Consider the following 15,551-nt stretch of genomic DNA (forward strand, 5'->3'; position numbering starts at 1 on the left):
ACAGGTGTGAGCCACCGCACCCGGCCGGGGCTTCTTAACTTGGGCTCTATGCCCCTCTGGAAATTGTATGCATAGTGATGGGTGTAGTGAGTTTTTCTCGGGCAGAAGTTCATGGCCTTCGTAGATCTTCAAAAGGATGTGCTAAGAAAAAAAAGGCTCAAAACAACCAATCTATAGGAGACCTGCAGGTCCCAAAAATGTCCAAGTCTTATGGTAGCATTTCTCCCGCCCCGAGGGAGGACACAGCTTCTTACCCAGAGGGACCAGGCAGCATCGGCTTCCCATGGGTCCTTCAGGCTCTCAGAGCTCAGCCCAGGGAGCCGAGACAGGCCAGCTCCCAAGGGCACTCGTGGGGGCTGCCTTGGTCACCCCGAGGCTCCTCCCCAGGCGGGCTTGAGGCAAGGGAGAAGGCATGCCCACCCTCCGTGGAGGTGGAGGTGCCCTCTCCAAGGCCCCAGCATGGCTGGGCTGCAGGAAATCGAGGGCAGGAAGAGGGGCTGGGGCCTGGACGCCGCCTCGCTCCCATCTGCAGAGCATCAGTGGGGCAGGCGGGTGGGGGCTTTTGAGGGGGCCCGGGGAGGAAATGAGAATAAACACAAGTGAGCGGGGAGGGAAGGGGGGCTGCGCCTAAGCCCCTTGGCAGCCCATGAAGGGAAGTGACACAATGAGGAATGTGTTTCCCTCTGCCCGTCCCCCACGTGGGGGTGGGAGGCTGAGCCCTGAGAATGGCCAGACCCCAACAGGGGCCAGGGGGCACATGCTGGGACAGTCCCAGAGGGGCAGGCAGTGAGGATGGGGTCTGGCGGCAAAACGGTGGGGGCTGGGCCAGAGGGGCACCCCTGGCAGCCAGGATACTTATCCTGCATCCCTCTCCCTCGGCCAGGGGCCTAGGATCAGTGTCCTGGCACGGTCCCTGTGTGCGCCTCACTGGGGGGCACCTCCCAGCACACCCCAGCATGGAAGCCATCCCTCCTCTAGGGAACTGGCCCCTTCTGGTGGCCCCTTCCCTTCCTTCTCCAGGGACTTGGGGTCATGGAGGCCGGCTGAGTCCTTCGAGTCCTTCCTATGGGAAGGAGCTGAGGGTGAGGGCTCCCCTGGCCGTGGGAAGGGCTGTGCACAGTGTTTCTGTCCCCAAGCGGGACTGTGCACAAACAGGCCCCCTGGTGGGACAGTACCTCCCCGTCCTGAACACCCATTTCCTCTCCTCCCAGCGGGCAGCCGGCTTGGTTAACCCCCTCCTGCCCAGTAATCCAGAGACGTTGATGAGGTTGTGGTGGGCAGGGCCAAGAGCCTCCTCAGCCCCCCACCCCTGACCTCCTCCTCCATCTGGGCTGAGGGGTGGCAGGGCCAAGAGTCCCCTCAGCCCCCAACCCTGACCCCCTCCTCCATCTGGGCTGAGGGGTGGTAAGGCCTGGGAAAGCAAGTGGGCCCCAGAAATCTCTGTGGATCTCCTGTCTTCCCGCCACAGCCCCTTCAGACAGGGGGCCCCCACCCTTGCCTGCTCCAGGGGTCCACCCACCCTTGCCTGCTGCCTCACAATCTCCTGCCAGTGGGTGGGAGCCAAGAGGCCACTGCCTCCATCTCAGACCCAGCACAGGGAGGCCCACTGGGCTGTGAGGCCCATGAGCTCTATGGAGCCTGAAGCCTGTCCTGGTTTAGCTCAGGAAAGAGCCAGCTGGCCTTTGAGTAGGTGGGCAACTGGCCCCACCCACTCTGCCTTCTAGGCATCTGTCCCTGGCTGTGCAGGGCACAGAGGACAGGGTGAGGGAGAAGGCCAGTGAGCAGGCACCCACCTTGGTCTTCTGTGGTCCTGCCTGCCCCAAGAGCCCAGGGGGCTGCCCTGGCAGGTGTGGGGTTAGGGCAGGCAGATACCCAGCAGGTCGCCTGTGGGTGGGCACTGTCTCCTCAGCACTGTCCCTGCAGCCCCAGGGGCAGGTGAGGAAGGGGGCAGAGAGTTGTGCCTAGGCCATGATTGAATTTGAGCCACAGACTCAGGGCTGGAAGGCTGCGGACTTACCTGCCGCTCACTCCTCCAGGCCAGGCTTGGCCCCTGGGATCCCTGGGGGGTCACAGCCCCCTTCTGTCCTGTCTCCCGACACTGCGGGCTCCTGCGGAGACCCATGGAGAAGACAGGACTGAGGACCTTGAACAAGCTGTCACTTCCCTGGCTTCCTCATCTGAAGGAGGAGGCTGGACAGGACTTACACCCCTGCCCTGGAGAGGAGCCAGGCAGAGTCCACCTGGGCCTCGGCCAGCCGCCTGACCTGTTTCCTCGCCTGTCAGACAGAGAGGGGCACAGGGATAAAACAGCCATAAAAATACCCTCCTTGGCCAAGCGCGGTGGCTCACACCTGTAACCCCAGCACTTTGGGAGGCCCAGGAGGGAGGATCACTTGAGCCCAGGAGTTCAAGACCAGCCTGGGCAACATAGTGGGACCCTGTCTCTACCAAAAAAAATTTTTTTTTTTAAATTAGCGGGTGTGGTGGCGCACACCTGTGGTGCCAGTTGCTTGGGAGGCAGAGGTTGGAGGATGGCTTGGGCCCAGGAATTTGAGGTTACAATGAGCCATGATCACACCACTGCACTCCAGCCTGGATGACAGAGAGACCCAGCCTCAAAAACAAAACAAAACAAAACAACTACCCCTCCCATGCGTCCCCTCCCCTGCCCACAAAGGCCAGGCTCAAGAAGCTTCTACCTTTGCATAGCAATTTACAAAACACCATGACACCTATTTTCAAATGCTTCCCAGGGCAACCCCAGCGACCTGCAGGGCAGTCCGGAGGTGGGGCAGGGTGGGAAAGGAGGCCTCCTAACTTCCAATCCAGGACGCTCTCCATGTTGTCTGAGGCCCTTGTGATCCCATCTCTTGGCTTCTTCGTCTCCTCTCTCTGTTCTGACCAGTGCCCGCTGATGGTAGCCAGGGAGGCGGAGGAGGCCTGTCCGAGGGGGTGGTTCTTTTTTTTTTTTTTTTTTTTTTTGAGATGGAGTCTCGCTCTGTCGCCCAGGCTGGAGTGCAGTGGCGCGATCTTGGCTCCCTGCAGCCTCCGCCTCCCGGGTTCAAGCAATTCTCCTGCCTAGCTGGGGCTACAGGTGCACACTGCCACACCTGGCTAATTTTTTTTTTTTTTTTTTGTATTTTTAGTAGAGACGGGGTTTCACCATGTTGGCCAGGATGGCCTTGATCAGGGGTGGTTCTTTAATCCCACCTCCCACCCGGTGCTGAGGAGAGCAGAGGTTTAGCAGGAAGTCAAGTCCCTGAGAAACCCAGCAACAACACCGTGGTGACAGTGAGGACCCCTCCCGGGGAGCAGGGCGGCTCCAGCGGGGAGAGGTGTGAGGGCCTCTGCACTTGCCTCTGCAGGGACCTGAGGAACAACATCATCAGCACAGTGCAGCCGGGCGCCTTCCTGGGCCTGGGGGAGCTGAAGCGTTTGTGAGTGGCACGCCCTCCCCTGACCCCACCCCTCCCCTCCCGAGGGAGAAAGTCACCCCTCCTGCTCCATGCCCACCCCCTTCCTCTCACCCCCCCACACCTGCCCCTCCTTTCCGCTTGGGTGCCTTGGCTGGGGTCAAAGGAGCTGGCATTTCCAGTCCAGCTGCGGCCTGGCCCCAACCTCATCTCCTTTTTCATCCCACCCCCCAACACAAGCCCTGGCCCCACCCATGTGTTCCTCACAAGTGGACCCACGTGCTGCCACGTGGCCAACATGCTGAGGTTGCCTGTGTCTCTCTAGAGATCTCTCCAACAACCGGATTGGCTGTCTCACCTCCGAGACCTTCCAGGGCCTCCCCAGGCTTCTCCGACTGTAAGTGATGGGGTGAGAAGTGGGGAGGGGAGGAGAGGGAAGAAGTGCATAGGAAGCAAAATGTGGCCCCCAACCCTTCCACATCCCACCTGCTCTCCTCCGCCGGCCCATGGACACCCTAAGACCCCATCTCAGTTGTCCCCTGTTCCCTGCAGAAACATATCTGGAAACATCTTCTCCAGTCTGCAACCTGGGGTCTTTGATGAGCTGCCAGCCCTTAAGGTTGTGTGAGTATCTCTTCCTAGCTCAAGGACCCAGACCCCTGTCCCTTTCTCTGCCCAGGAGAGATGTATAAGTATCATGACCACCAGGACTGGTCTCACGAGTGGCCACAGCAGACAGTGCCTGAAATGCCCCCATGATCACCTTCCCGCGATGGCCCGGGGCAGAGATGGTGCACATAGACCCGATTTTGCCCCTCCTACCCTCTCCAGCTTCATCCCTCCCTGGGGCCCCAGGCCACCCATGAGCCCACACTCCCTCTGCTCTGCTCCGTGACCCCTCTGCCCACCCTGCAGGGACTTGGGCACCGAGTTCCTGACCTGTGACTGCCACCTGCGCTGGCTGCTGCCCTGGGCCCAGAATCGCTCCCTGCAGCTGTCGGAACACACGCTCTGTGCTTACCCCAGTGCCCTGCATGCTCAGGCCCTGGGCAGCCTCCAGGAGGCCCAGCTCTGCTGCGGTGAGCAAGTCCCCCCAGCTACACATCTCCCAGGGACCCTGCCTCTCCACCAACCCAGGGCCCAGACACGAGCCTCCCCTCAGACCCACAGGTTTTTACCTTTGTATTGCAATTTGCAAAAGACCACGACACTGAGTCCTGCTCTTGCATTTAGGGAGACCTTATCTTTATGTATAAATCACCATCTGAGAAGTGCTGCCCAGCACAAAAAGGCTTTTCTGTGCTGTCTTTCATTACAGGTTTGCAACAGCTCTCCCACAAAAAGAATCACATTTACTATCCCAGCGACCCTCCCTGTGAGGCGGGGCCAGTGTTATTCTCCCTACTCCGCCTATGACTGTGTGCTGGGCGTGTCCTCCAGGGCATCCCCTTTCCCTCGGTGTCCCGGGGTCAGTCCTCCATCAGCTTTTCTAAGCCCCCTTGGGACTGCTTGTTTATGTTTTCATCTGGCCCCACCTCTTGGGGTAACACGTGTGCTGAGAAAGGAGTACTTTTCTTTGTCCAAAAACCGCCTGTCCCTCCCCTTTACCCTTACCCCTAGAGACTTTCTCTTGACCCCTTTTCCTTCCCAGCTGGAGCAGGCTGCAGGCCGAGGGCCCCGCCCCGCCCCACCCCATCCTGCTGGACTCTCGCTCACACGTGCAGCCTCACATGCGTGTGCACTCGGGCCTCACGCCTGGTGTCTCCTCCCACAGAGGGGGCCCTGGAGCTGCACACACACCACCTCATCCCGTCCCTACGCCAAGTGGTGTTCCAGGGGGATCGGCTGCCCTTCCAGTGCTCTGCCAGCTACCTGGGCAACGACACCCGCATCCGCTGGTACCACAACCGAGCCCCTGTGGAGGGTGATGAGCAGGCGGGCATCCTCCTGGCCGAGAGCCTCATCCACGACTGCACCTTCATCACCAGGTATGAGCCCCGCTGCCCCTCCTCAGGCCTCAGCATGGGGTTAGGGGACCTACCCTACCCGTCACCACCCCGCAAAAGAGCTGCCCCCAGATGTGTTCCCGGGAGACTGTGCTTGTATATTTATGGAAAGACTGGACTAAGTTATCAATGGTCTAGATAGAGGCTAGAAATAAATATCTGATAGAACAAAATGATGATACTTCACATCTCTTTAGTGTTCTTACATTGTATAGAGTGGCTCCTATCTATGGCACCAGATTTAATCTCTACAGTAGACCTGCAAGAGAGATATTATTGGCTCCATGATAAGGATGGGGAAATTGAAGCTCAAAAAAACAGTATCATAAGGCCAATCAGAATAAAAGGAGTGCATACTTGCATCCCTTGTTTCATTAAAGAAAAAAGGACCTGCAGCTAGTGTTGTAGGACGGTGCTGAGGGAGGGCAACGTGGCTGGGCCCAAGGGTGACTCACGAGCCAGCTCCACCTGCCACCCGCAGTGAGCTGACGCTGTCTCACATCGGCGTGTGGGCCTCAGGCGAGTGGGAGTGCACCGTGTCCATGGCCCAAGGCAACGCCAGCAAGAAGGTGGAGATCGTGGTGCTGGAGACCTCTGCCTCCTACTGCCCCGCCGAGCGTGTTGCCAACAACCGCGGGGACTTCAGGTTTGGCCCACTCCACCCTGTAGAGGGCTGCCCAGCCCCCAACCCCACCCTTGCACCTGACATCACAGGTGGCCAGAGTTTCCCCATCCGCTGTCTCTGTTGGGTCCTAAAGATGGAGAAGACACTTCCTTTTGTCATTCAGCCTGAAGCCTTGCTATCGAATAGATAGACTTTATGTATAAACTTACCATCTGAGGCCGGGTGCAGTGGCTCACGCCTACAATCCCAGCACTTTGGAAGGCCAAGGCAGGCTGATCATCTGAGGTCAGGAGATCAGCCTGGCCAACATGGCAAAACCCCATCTCTACCAAAAAGCACAAAAATCAGCCAGGCATGGTGGTGCGTGCCTGTAATCCCAACTACTCAGGAGGCTGAGGCAGGAGAATCGCTTGAACCCAGGAGGCGGAGGTTGCAGTGAGCCAAGATCACACCATTGCACTCCAGCCTCAGCCTAGGAGACAAGAGCAAGACTCCATCTCAAAAACAAACAAACAAACAAAATTACCATCTGAGATGTGCTGCAGAAAAAGACTTTTTTTTTTTTGAGAGAGAGTCTCACTCTGGAGTGCAATGGCATGATCTTGTTGCCTCAGCCTCCCCGGTAGCTGGCCTGTGCCACCATGCCCAGCTAATTTTTGTATTTTCAGTAGAGATAGGGTTTCACCATGTTGGCCAGGCTGGTCTCGAACTCCTGGCCTCAAGTGATCCACCCGCCTTGGCCTCCCGAAGTGCCAGGATTACAGGCTTGAGCCACTGCGACTTTTTTTTAGACAGGGTCTTGCTCTTTCATCCAGGCTCCAGTGCAGTGGCACAATCATACCTCACTGCAGTCTCGAATTCCTGGGCTCAAGCAATCCTCCCACCTCCGCCTCCCAAGGAGCTGGGACTACAGGCGCAGACACTATGCCTAGCTTATTGTGTTATCTTCTGTAGAGACAGGGTCTCACTTTGTTGCCCAGGCTGGTCTCAAACCCCTGGGCTCAAGCACTGTGCCTGGCCACAAAAAGGCTTTTATTTGCTTCCTTATATTCATAGTTTGCAAAAGCTCACCCACAAAGAGTATCACCTTTTAAGATCCCAGTGACCCTCTCTGTTATGCAGGGAAGCTATTATTCTCCCCACTGTACAGCTGAGAATACTGAGGCCGAGAAAGGATAAATACCTTGCCTTAAGCCATAGCAAATAAGTGGCAGAACTTGAATTTAAACTCAGAACTCTGAAGTCCAGCCCCCTATCGCCTGTGATAGCCCGGTCAGAACAAAGAGAGTGGAACTTGGGAACCCCTGGAAGGCTGGTCTGAACCCCGCTCCTGGATCCCTCCCCAAGGCCCCAAGGAGTCCGGCCTCACCGTTCTAAAGTCGGGAGAAGGGCTGTTGTTCTGAGAAGCCCGGTTCATCGGCAACTTCCTGCCTCTCCCCCCAGGTGGCCCCGAACTCTGGCTGGCATCACAGCCTACCAGTCCTGCCTGCAGTATCCCTTCACCTCAGTGCCCCTGGGCGGGGGTGCCCCGGGCACCCGAGCCTCCCGCCGGTGTGACCGTGCCGGCCGCTGGGAGCCAGGGGACTACTCCCACTGTCTCTACACCAACGACATCACCAGGGTGCTGTACACCTTCGTGCTGGTGAGGAGAGGCTAGGGCACCCCACCAGCTCTGCTTCGGGGGCACAGGGAAGGGAGAAGCCAACCTAACGGGCAAGGGGAGCCCTATCTCCGGGCCGCTGGGCTGTGCCTCCTGTTCCTGCCTGTGCAGAGCCAGGAGCCGGCTCCTCTCCTCCAGCCGCCCTCTGCTATTCAGACCCACTGAGGCCACAGTGGGGAAGGGCACCAGTCCTCTGTCCCCATCTGGCCACCTCACGCCCCTTTACTCACCAACGCCAAAAGCAGAGTCCCACTGTCCTTACACCAGGGGTGCTGGCAGTGGTGGCCTTGGGCTGTGATGGTCTCAGCCTCCTCTGCCCTCCTAGCTTGATGAGACCCAGAAGGTAGGCTGGACTCCTGTCCCCAGGCACTGAGCACTGGCACAGAGCAGAGGGTCCCCAGGGGCAGTTCGGGGGCAGAAGGAACAGGCGAGATGATCCTCTCTCTTCCCCCAATCCCCAGATGCCCATCAATGCCTCCAATGCGCTGACCCTGGCTCACCAGCTGCGCGTGTACACAGCCGAGGCCGCTAGCTTTTCAGACATGATGGATGTAGTCTATGTGGCTCAGATGATCCAGAAATTTTTGGGTTATGTCGACCAGATCAAAGAGGTGAGACTCAGCTGGAACTCAGGAGCTCGGAAAACGCCCCCATCCCTCATTTGCTCAAGCCTCTCTCTCACTCCAGCTCCTGGGTCCCAAACCCCGCCCCTGCCCTCAGCAACTTCCCTGTCCCCCCAGCTGGTAGAGGTGATGGTGGACATGGCCAGCAACCTGATGCTGGTGGACGAGCACCTGCTGTGGCTGGCCCAGCGCGAGGACAAGGCCTGCAGCCGCATCGTGGGTGCCCTGGAGCGCATTGGGGGGGCCGCCCTCAGCCCCCATGCCCAGCACATCTCAGTGGTAATGGGGGTCAGCAGAGGGGGTGGCCCTGGCATGCAGAGGAGGGAGGCGCTCCCTCTCAGGCGTGCACCTGCCGTGCCCCAGCTAGCAAGAGCAGCAGACGTGACAAAGTTCTGAGCCATGGGGTTCACTTCCAAGTTGTCAGGGGCAGTGCTAAGGAGAGGTGGCCGGTGACCCTGGAGAAGTGATGCCAGACTCCGTGGTGGGGAACTGAGCCAAAGGGCCAGCCTGATGGGAATAAGCAGGAGGAAGAGTGAAAGGAGTAGAAGGGATGGGAGGAAGGCTTGGTGGCAGGGCAGACAGCACTCGGGATTGAGTGAAGAGTAATGGAAGTTCCCTGAGAGAAGGTGAGTGCTCCAATCTGATAACAACCACAGTACAGCATCGTGTATGTTCAAGATATTGTGCTAGGCCCTTGGGGCGATGCAAAGGGGTGAGACATGGAGCCTGCTCTACAGCTGAGTCGGGCAACAGAACTGGCATACTTAAGAGGTGAGCAAGAAGCCTGTAATCCCAGCACGTTGGGAGGCCGATACAGGAGGATCTCCCAAGGCCAGGAGTTGGAGACCAGCCTGGGCAACAGAGAGACCTGGTCTCCACAAAAAATACAAAAATTACCCAGGAGTGTTGGCATGCGCCTGTGGTCCCAGCTACTCGGGAGGCCAAGGTGGGAGGATCACTTGAGGCCTGGAATTTGAGACTAGCCTGGGCAACATGGTGAAACCCCATCTCTAAAAAAAAGTTTTTAATTAGATGGGCATGGTAGCATGCCTGTAGTCCCAGATACTCAGGAGGCTGAGGTGGGAGGATTACTTGAGCCCAGGATTTGTAGGCTGCAGTGAGCTGGTTGTGATGCTGCACTCCAGCCTGGGTGACATAGCAAGAATCTGTTCCTCTAAAAAAAAAAAGAGAGAGAGGTGGCTTTGAAAAAACTGAGGATTGAAGGGGAGGACTACAGCCTGAGCAGGCCCATTGAGAGAGATGTGCAGTCCCAAGCAGAAGGCCACCATCTCAAATGGTGGGATGACAAGGTCCCTGTCCCCAGAATGCGAGGAACGTGGCATTGGAGGCCTACCTCATCAAGCCGCACAGCTACGTGGGCCTGACCTGCACAGCCTTCCAGAGGAGGGAGGGAGGGGTGCCGGGCACACGGCCAGGAAGCCCTGGCCAGAACCCCCCACCTGAGCCCGAGCCCCCAGCTGACCAGCAGCTCCGCTTCCGCTGCACCACCGGGAGGCCCAATGTTTCTCTGTCGTCCTTCCACATCAAGGTGGGCGCTGGGGGAGGGAGAGGGGGTGGGAGAAGGGAGGCACTCAGATGCAGGTGCCTGGTGGGGGCAGTGAGAGGAGGTGGGAGGAGGGGGCTGCAAGACATCAGTGCTCTAGGGGGTCCTGGTGTCTCTGAGGAGCTCCTATGTCCCCCCAGAACAGCGTGGCCCTGGCCTCCATCCAGCTGCCCCCGAGTCTATTCTCATCCCTTCCGGCTGCCCTGGCTCCCCCGGTGCCCCCAGACTGCACCCTGCAACTGCTCGTCTTCCGAAATGGCCGCCTCTTCCACAGCCACAGCAACACCTCCCGCCCTGGAGCTGCTGGGCCTGGCAAGAGGCGTGGCGTGGCCACCCCCGTCATCTTCGCAGGAACCAGTAAGGGACTGAATTCCCCGCCCCGCCCAGGGTGCCTCTCGTGTGTCCGCCCTGTTCCCCTTTATCCTGCCCTTCCCTGGCCCACAGCCCCCCAGTGCCGTAGTGGAACTGACACAGGATGTTGGGTCTCTCACCTTTTCCCAACAGGGCAGAGGGTAGAGATACCCCATAAAGAAAGGGTCTGGAGGAGAAAAGCCTCAGGAAGACATTGCCTTCTATATCCCAGATTTGTTCAATTTCAAGAGGGCTATGAGCATAGCCCCCTCCAACACACACACACACACACACACACACACACACACACACACACACACACACACACACACACCCCACAGGCCCAATGCAGACAAGTAATGCTGAATAGGTGCCTGCTAGAAACAGCACTGTCACTGGTGCTGGAAGGAATAAAAACATCTAGGCCATAGTCCCTGCTCCCAGAGGCTACCTAAGCAGTAGAGGGTGAAGTAACCTCCCAGGGCAGCCACAGGAGAGGTTCCAGGCAGCTGCTGCACAGGCAGCCCAGGTGAGAAGCATCCTGAAAAGGCAACATGGCTCCAGCTGTCATGGCGGAGGTGGGACTGACACAGATGGGCCTTGAGGGATGATCAGGACTTTCAGAGACACCAAGGAAGGGCGGAGACCAGGGCAGAGGAATAACAACATGAGCAGAGGTGTGGTGGGTGGGAGACACCGAGTGTCTGACTCGCCACCCACCTGGGGGCCTGGCACCCAGAAAGCAGATGGATCACCTGCAGTCCCCCTTTTGTCGTTCCATCTCTCCCCCGGGACCAGCGACCCCACACCTGCCTTCTTTCTGCCAGTGATTCCACTGTTACTCCCACCATCCACGCTGACACCAGCCCATCTCTGGCCCCCACACCTCCACCTTCAGTCCATCCCTCATGCCGTCACCAGATTCACCTTCTGCAAACTGCACTTTGCACGTCAGAGAGCCCCTTCAAAGTCTTGGGTTGTTTCCCATCATCAGGACGTCTGCCTCCCTCCATGAGCCCTCTAGGGTCCTAGCGATGTGGCTGTACCCCCTTTGCCCAGCCAGAAGGCACTGCCACCCCACCGTGGGTTCCATCCTGTTCCTAGCACAGACTCTTGCTGTCAGGTCTTGCATTCTGGCCAGGGACACTCACTGAGTATCTGGTATGTGCCAGACTGTGCCTGAGCTGGGACACACCTGTGCACAGACAGTTACGGCTGTGTCCTTGAGGAACACACCCTTCAGCAGAGAGGACAGGCAGTGGACAAGTCGTTGTAAGTGCAGCTCGTTGTAAGTGAGCAGCAGTGAAGAGCAGCTCGTTGTAAGTGAGAAGCAGTGAAGTGTTTTGGAGGGCACAGGGATGAGGGACCACCCAACCTAGCTGGAGGCCAGCGAGGCCTTTCCCGAAAACCACTAAGACTTAAAGGACAAGTAAGGTGGCCTGAGGAAGGTGAAAGCCCTGTGTCCGCAACCGCGTGGGCTGTGGGAGTGTGTGGGTTGAGGCGGGTGGGTGAGGGGTCTGTGGAGCCCAGGGCCTGCTCCGGGAGCCCCTCTCCCACTGGGAACGCCTCCTCCTAGTCCTCTCTCCATCCCGCCCGCCTCCCTCCTCCCTCCTCCCTTCGCCTGGCTTCTGTTCCCTCCATCTGCATTTCTGTGTTCTTGTCCCTGAGCCCCCGCCAGCCTGAGTCCTCACCATGGAGCATGACATCACTGCTCATCCAGCACTCAGGGTGGGCCACCACAGAGGGCTCACATTTTCCACCATCATCCGCACCCACCCCCTCCAGGGTCCCCCATTAGACTGAGGCTGTCCTTGGCATCTCACCGCATGCCCCCAGCCCAGCACTGTGCCCTGCCTGGCAGGTGCCTAGTACACACCCTGTCACTGCTGCTGCTGCTGAGTCCCGGCTGAGCCCACCTCCCTGACACCCTGTGTGTGTCTGTGTGGACGTCCCTCTCCCGCTGTAGGTGGCTGTGGCGTGGGAAACCTGACAGAGCCAGTGGCCGTTTCGCTGCGGCACTGGGCTGAGGGAGCCGAACCTGTGGCCGCTTGGTGGAGCCAGGAGGGGCCCGGGGAGGCTGGGGGCTGGACCTCGGAGGGCTGCCAGCTCCGCTCCAGCCAGCCCAATGTCAGCGCCCTGCACTGCCAGCACTTGGGCAATGTGGCCGTGCTCATGGTGGGTGTGAGGAGGGGTGACAAGTCGGGGGGGCAGGGACACGGGCTGGGTGGAAAATGGGGGTGGGTGTACTCTGACCATTTGGGACCATGGAGAAATACAGAAAGGACTGCAGCCCTAATTGGGCCCCATGAGTGGTGGGATGTGGGGAAATGGCCCTTTGGCCTCTCCTACCTCTCCATCTTTCAGGAGACAGGGAGGTCCGGCCTCCATGCCTATATCCAGATAGTTGGATCTGATGGATCTGGAACTCCCGATGGATCTGGAACTCCCTAGCCTGGCCTTCACATCCTGCACTTTCTGAGACCAGATTTTTTTTTTTTTTTTTTTTTAGACGGAGTCTGGCTTTGTCACCAGGCTGGAGTGCAGTGGCATGATCTCGGCTCACTGCAACCTCCGCCTCCTAGGTCCAAGTGATTCTCCTGAGTCAGCCTCCCAAGTAGCTGGGATTACAGGCGTGTGCCACCATGCCCGGCTAATTTTTTGTATTTTTAGTAGAGACAGGGTTTTGCCATGTTGGCCAGGCTGATCTCAAACTCCTGACCTCAAATGATCCGCCCGCCTCAGCCTCCCAAAGTGCTGGGATTATAGGCATGAGTCACCGTGCCCAGCCGAGACTAGATTCTTACAAAGAAGAAAAAAATAATCTGGGAACCCTTCTCCTTCCTGGTCACCCCCTCCCTCGTGGCACGTGGTACTGCCACTCTCCAGTCCTGCAGGCCTGCTGCTGGTCACAGGCAGCACCTGCTCCCTTTCTCCTCATCTCTGGTTTTTCAGGCTGAGGGTGTGAAGAGTCCTCAGCAAAGCAGGACTGGAGGCAGGGAAGGGGCTGCAGTAGCTGGCTCCATAGGGCTGGCTTCCTAAGAGTGGACAGCCCGAAGCTTTCCTCCCTGCCCAGATGAACTAAGCACCAAAGTGCAGGACCAAGGCTGACGGGGCCTGGGAAGAGGAAAGCTGGCCTGGGGGCCTGGCGAGGTGTCCACATTCCTCACGTCCTCCTTCCTGCCCTTTCCCAGGAGCTGAGCGCCTTTCCCAGGGAGGTGGGGGGCGCCGGGGCAGGGCTGCACCCCGTGGTATACCCCTGCACGGCCTTGCTGCTGCTCTGCCTCTTCGCCACCATCATCACCTACATCCTCAACCACAGGTGGGTGCTCCTGCAGGAGGGAGGGCGTGGTGGGCAGGCATGGAAGGGGCCCCTACCCTGTCCACTTCCCGTCCTATGCTCCGGTACATACTTTCAATTCCAGCTTTGCAATGGGGGAGGGACTCCGAGGCAGGTGTAGGAAACCTCCCAGCATGGGTGCAGGGTGGACTCACTGAGGACTTGGCAGGGGTTTTTTCCCCAGGTGGGTCCACATGACTTTCTCAGCCTCTCACCCATTGGGGTTGGAATCACTTTGAGGGGTTAAGGACTCCCTACCCTATGGCCTCTGTCACATTCCCAACCATTCACACACGCAGATATGTGCCTGCCCCCCGTGGCTCTCCCAGTGGCCTTGAGACCCCATGGGCCTGACCTTGGGTTGGACGGCCATTAATTCGAGACTGTTTCCGGGCAGCTCCATCCGTGTGTCCCGGAAAGGCTGGCACATGCTGCTGAACTTGTGCTTCCACATAGCCATGACCTCTGCTGTCTTTGCGGGGGGCATCACACTCACCAACTACCAGATGGTCTGCCAGGCGGTAAGCAGGAGAAGGGGCTCTGGGGGTGGTGCTCCGAGATGAGTGCTGGCACCTAGGCATAGAGTGGGGTGATGCGCTGGAAGAAAAAGGCTGGTGCTCATAGGCCGTGGCTCCATGGCTTCCTCTGTGGCAGCCTTGGAAGGCAGGGATGGTGGGTCGTGGAGAGTGAAAGTAGGGGGTGGTAAGAACCAGATCAGAGAGAATGGGAGATGGGCTTCAAAGTGGAAATGGAGACGTGCAGTGGTGGGGAGGTGGGGGATCAGCCAGATAGCCATATCAGGGTCATGGGAAGCCCTGCAATGGGAGAGAACCCTGGGGTGAAGGCAGAGGGTGGCAGTAGGGATGGAAGCTTGGCGAGTGTATGGGGAGTGGGCTGGGTAAAGTAAAAAAGCTGGGGGCCGGAGGCTGGAAGCCTGGGAGGACACCAGCAGGACTGAAGCTCTGGGAGGGTCCAGTCGTAGTCCCCAGGTCCCCAGCCTCCGTGCCTTGACCCCGCAGGTGGGCATCACCCTGCACTACTCCTCCCTATCCACGCTGCTCTGGATGGGCGTGAAGGCGCGAGTGCTCCATAAGGAGCTCACCTGGAGGGCACCCCCTCCGCAAGAAGGGGACCCCGCTCTGCCTACTCCCAGTCCTATGCTCCGGTACATACTTTCAATTCCAGCTTTGCAATTGGGGAGGGACTCCAACGCAGGCGTAGGAAACCTCCCAAGGTGGGTGAAGGGTGAGTCTAAGGTCCCTGGGAGATCACTCTCCAAAGACGGGGGAGGCTAGGCCCTAGACTCAGCAGGTCACACAAGACCATGCAGTGGGGGACATCTTGCGGGCTTCTGGGGCATGACAAAGCCAGGGAAGGAGATGACTCCAAATGCCATGGCAAGGATCCTGGGAACCTGAGTGGCACCCCTGACTTCTGCACTGTTTAGGGTGAGAGAGCAATTCTGGCCTCTGCCCCTTAGAACAGTCATGGCCAAGTCCAAGTAGTCCCTGCAGGGACCTTGCATCCCTGGCAAAAAATTCTGATAATTTAAAGGGGAAAGAGGATGGGACAGAAACATCAAGCAAAGGGCTCTAAGCACCCAGTTCTTCCCTTCCCTTTCCCCATCTCTGGGACCCCCAATCCCTCATTCCCTCCAGGTTCTATTTGATCGCTGGAGGGATTCCACTCATTATCTGTGGCATCACAGCTGCAGTCAACATCCACAACTACCGGGACCACAGCCCCTAGTGAGCACCCCTCCCTCCCGCCCCAAGCCTACCTACCTAACACCAGATGCCTTCCACTCCACTGGCAGGGCCATCTGCCAGGTCCACCCAGCCATAACCCAACCCAAGCCCATGCATGCTGACCAAGCCGTCCTTGTCTCCGTACTCACCATATCCTGTCTCCCCAACCACCCCGGCCCCCAGCCCCACCCCAGCCATGCCCCCTGTCCTCATCACTGCTTCTG

General features: G+C 58.4%; 1 protein-coding gene across 4 annotated transcripts in view, besides 3 other annotated features; it reads left to right on the plus strand.

Moving 5' to 3' along the window:
* ADGRA2 (adhesion G protein-coupled receptor A2) overlaps window positions 1-15,551 on the plus strand; it is a 48,014-nt gene that overhangs the window by 28,640 nt on the left and 3,823 nt on the right. For 2 of the 4 annotated variants that reach the window (XM_011544481.3, XM_011544482.3), the window contains 16 exons: window positions 3,366-3,437; window positions 3,739-3,810; window positions 3,966-4,037; window positions 4,329-4,492; window positions 5,188-5,401; window positions 5,901-6,065; window positions 7,488-7,686; window positions 8,166-8,315; window positions 8,445-8,606; window positions 9,652-9,876; window positions 10,032-10,248; window positions 12,209-12,417; window positions 13,434-13,561; window positions 13,977-14,100; window positions 14,599-14,813; window positions 15,238-15,327. In XM_011544481.3, coding sequence (XP_011542783.1) covers window positions 3,366-3,437; window positions 3,739-3,810; window positions 3,966-4,037; window positions 4,329-4,492; window positions 5,188-5,401; window positions 5,901-6,065; window positions 7,488-7,686; window positions 8,166-8,315; window positions 8,445-8,606; window positions 9,652-9,876; window positions 10,032-10,248; window positions 12,209-12,417; window positions 13,434-13,561; window positions 13,977-14,100; window positions 14,599-14,813; window positions 15,238-15,327 — 2,478 coding nt within the window. The remainder of the gene's footprint in view (window positions 1-3,365; window positions 3,438-3,738; window positions 3,811-3,965; window positions 4,038-4,328; window positions 4,493-5,187; window positions 5,402-5,900; window positions 6,066-7,487; window positions 7,687-8,165; window positions 8,316-8,444; window positions 8,607-9,651; window positions 9,877-10,031; window positions 10,249-12,208; window positions 12,418-13,433; window positions 13,562-13,976; window positions 14,101-14,598; window positions 14,814-15,237; window positions 15,328-15,551) is intronic. The other 2 variants (NM_032777.10, XM_011544483.3) reach the window with 2 other exon arrangements.
* Window positions 50-2,307: an enhancer, noted in NCBI's record as "VISTA enhancer hs1665". NCBI's record gives its function as "enhancer in: heart[5/7] | blood vessels[7/7]" and the evidence as "EXISTENCE:transgenic organism evidence [ECO:0001131][PMID:17130149]".
* Window positions 2,624-3,592: an enhancer, noted in NCBI's record as "H3K4me1 hESC enhancer chr8:37685664-37686632 (GRCh37/hg19 assembly coordinates)". NCBI's record gives its function as "activates a minimal SCP1, AML or CMV promoter by ChIP-STARR-seq in naive H9 embryonic stem cells {active_cell/tissue: H9 hESC(naive)}" and the evidence as "EXISTENCE:reporter gene assay evidence [ECO:0000049][PMID:30033119]".
* Window positions 13,833-13,970: a silencer, noted in NCBI's record as "fragment chr8:37696873-37697010 (GRCh37/hg19 assembly coordinates)". NCBI's record gives its function as "represses an EF-1alpha promoter that drives an FKBP-Casp9 reporter gene in an ReSE screen in K562 erythroleukemia cells {active_cell/tissue: K562}" and the evidence as "EXISTENCE:reporter gene assay evidence [ECO:0000049][PMID:32094911]".

This window comes from Homo sapiens, chromosome 8 (genome assembly GCF_000001405.40).
Source record: "Homo sapiens chromosome 8, GRCh38.p14 Primary Assembly".
NCBI classification, from domain to species: domain Eukaryota; kingdom Metazoa; phylum Chordata; class Mammalia; order Primates; family Hominidae; genus Homo; species Homo sapiens.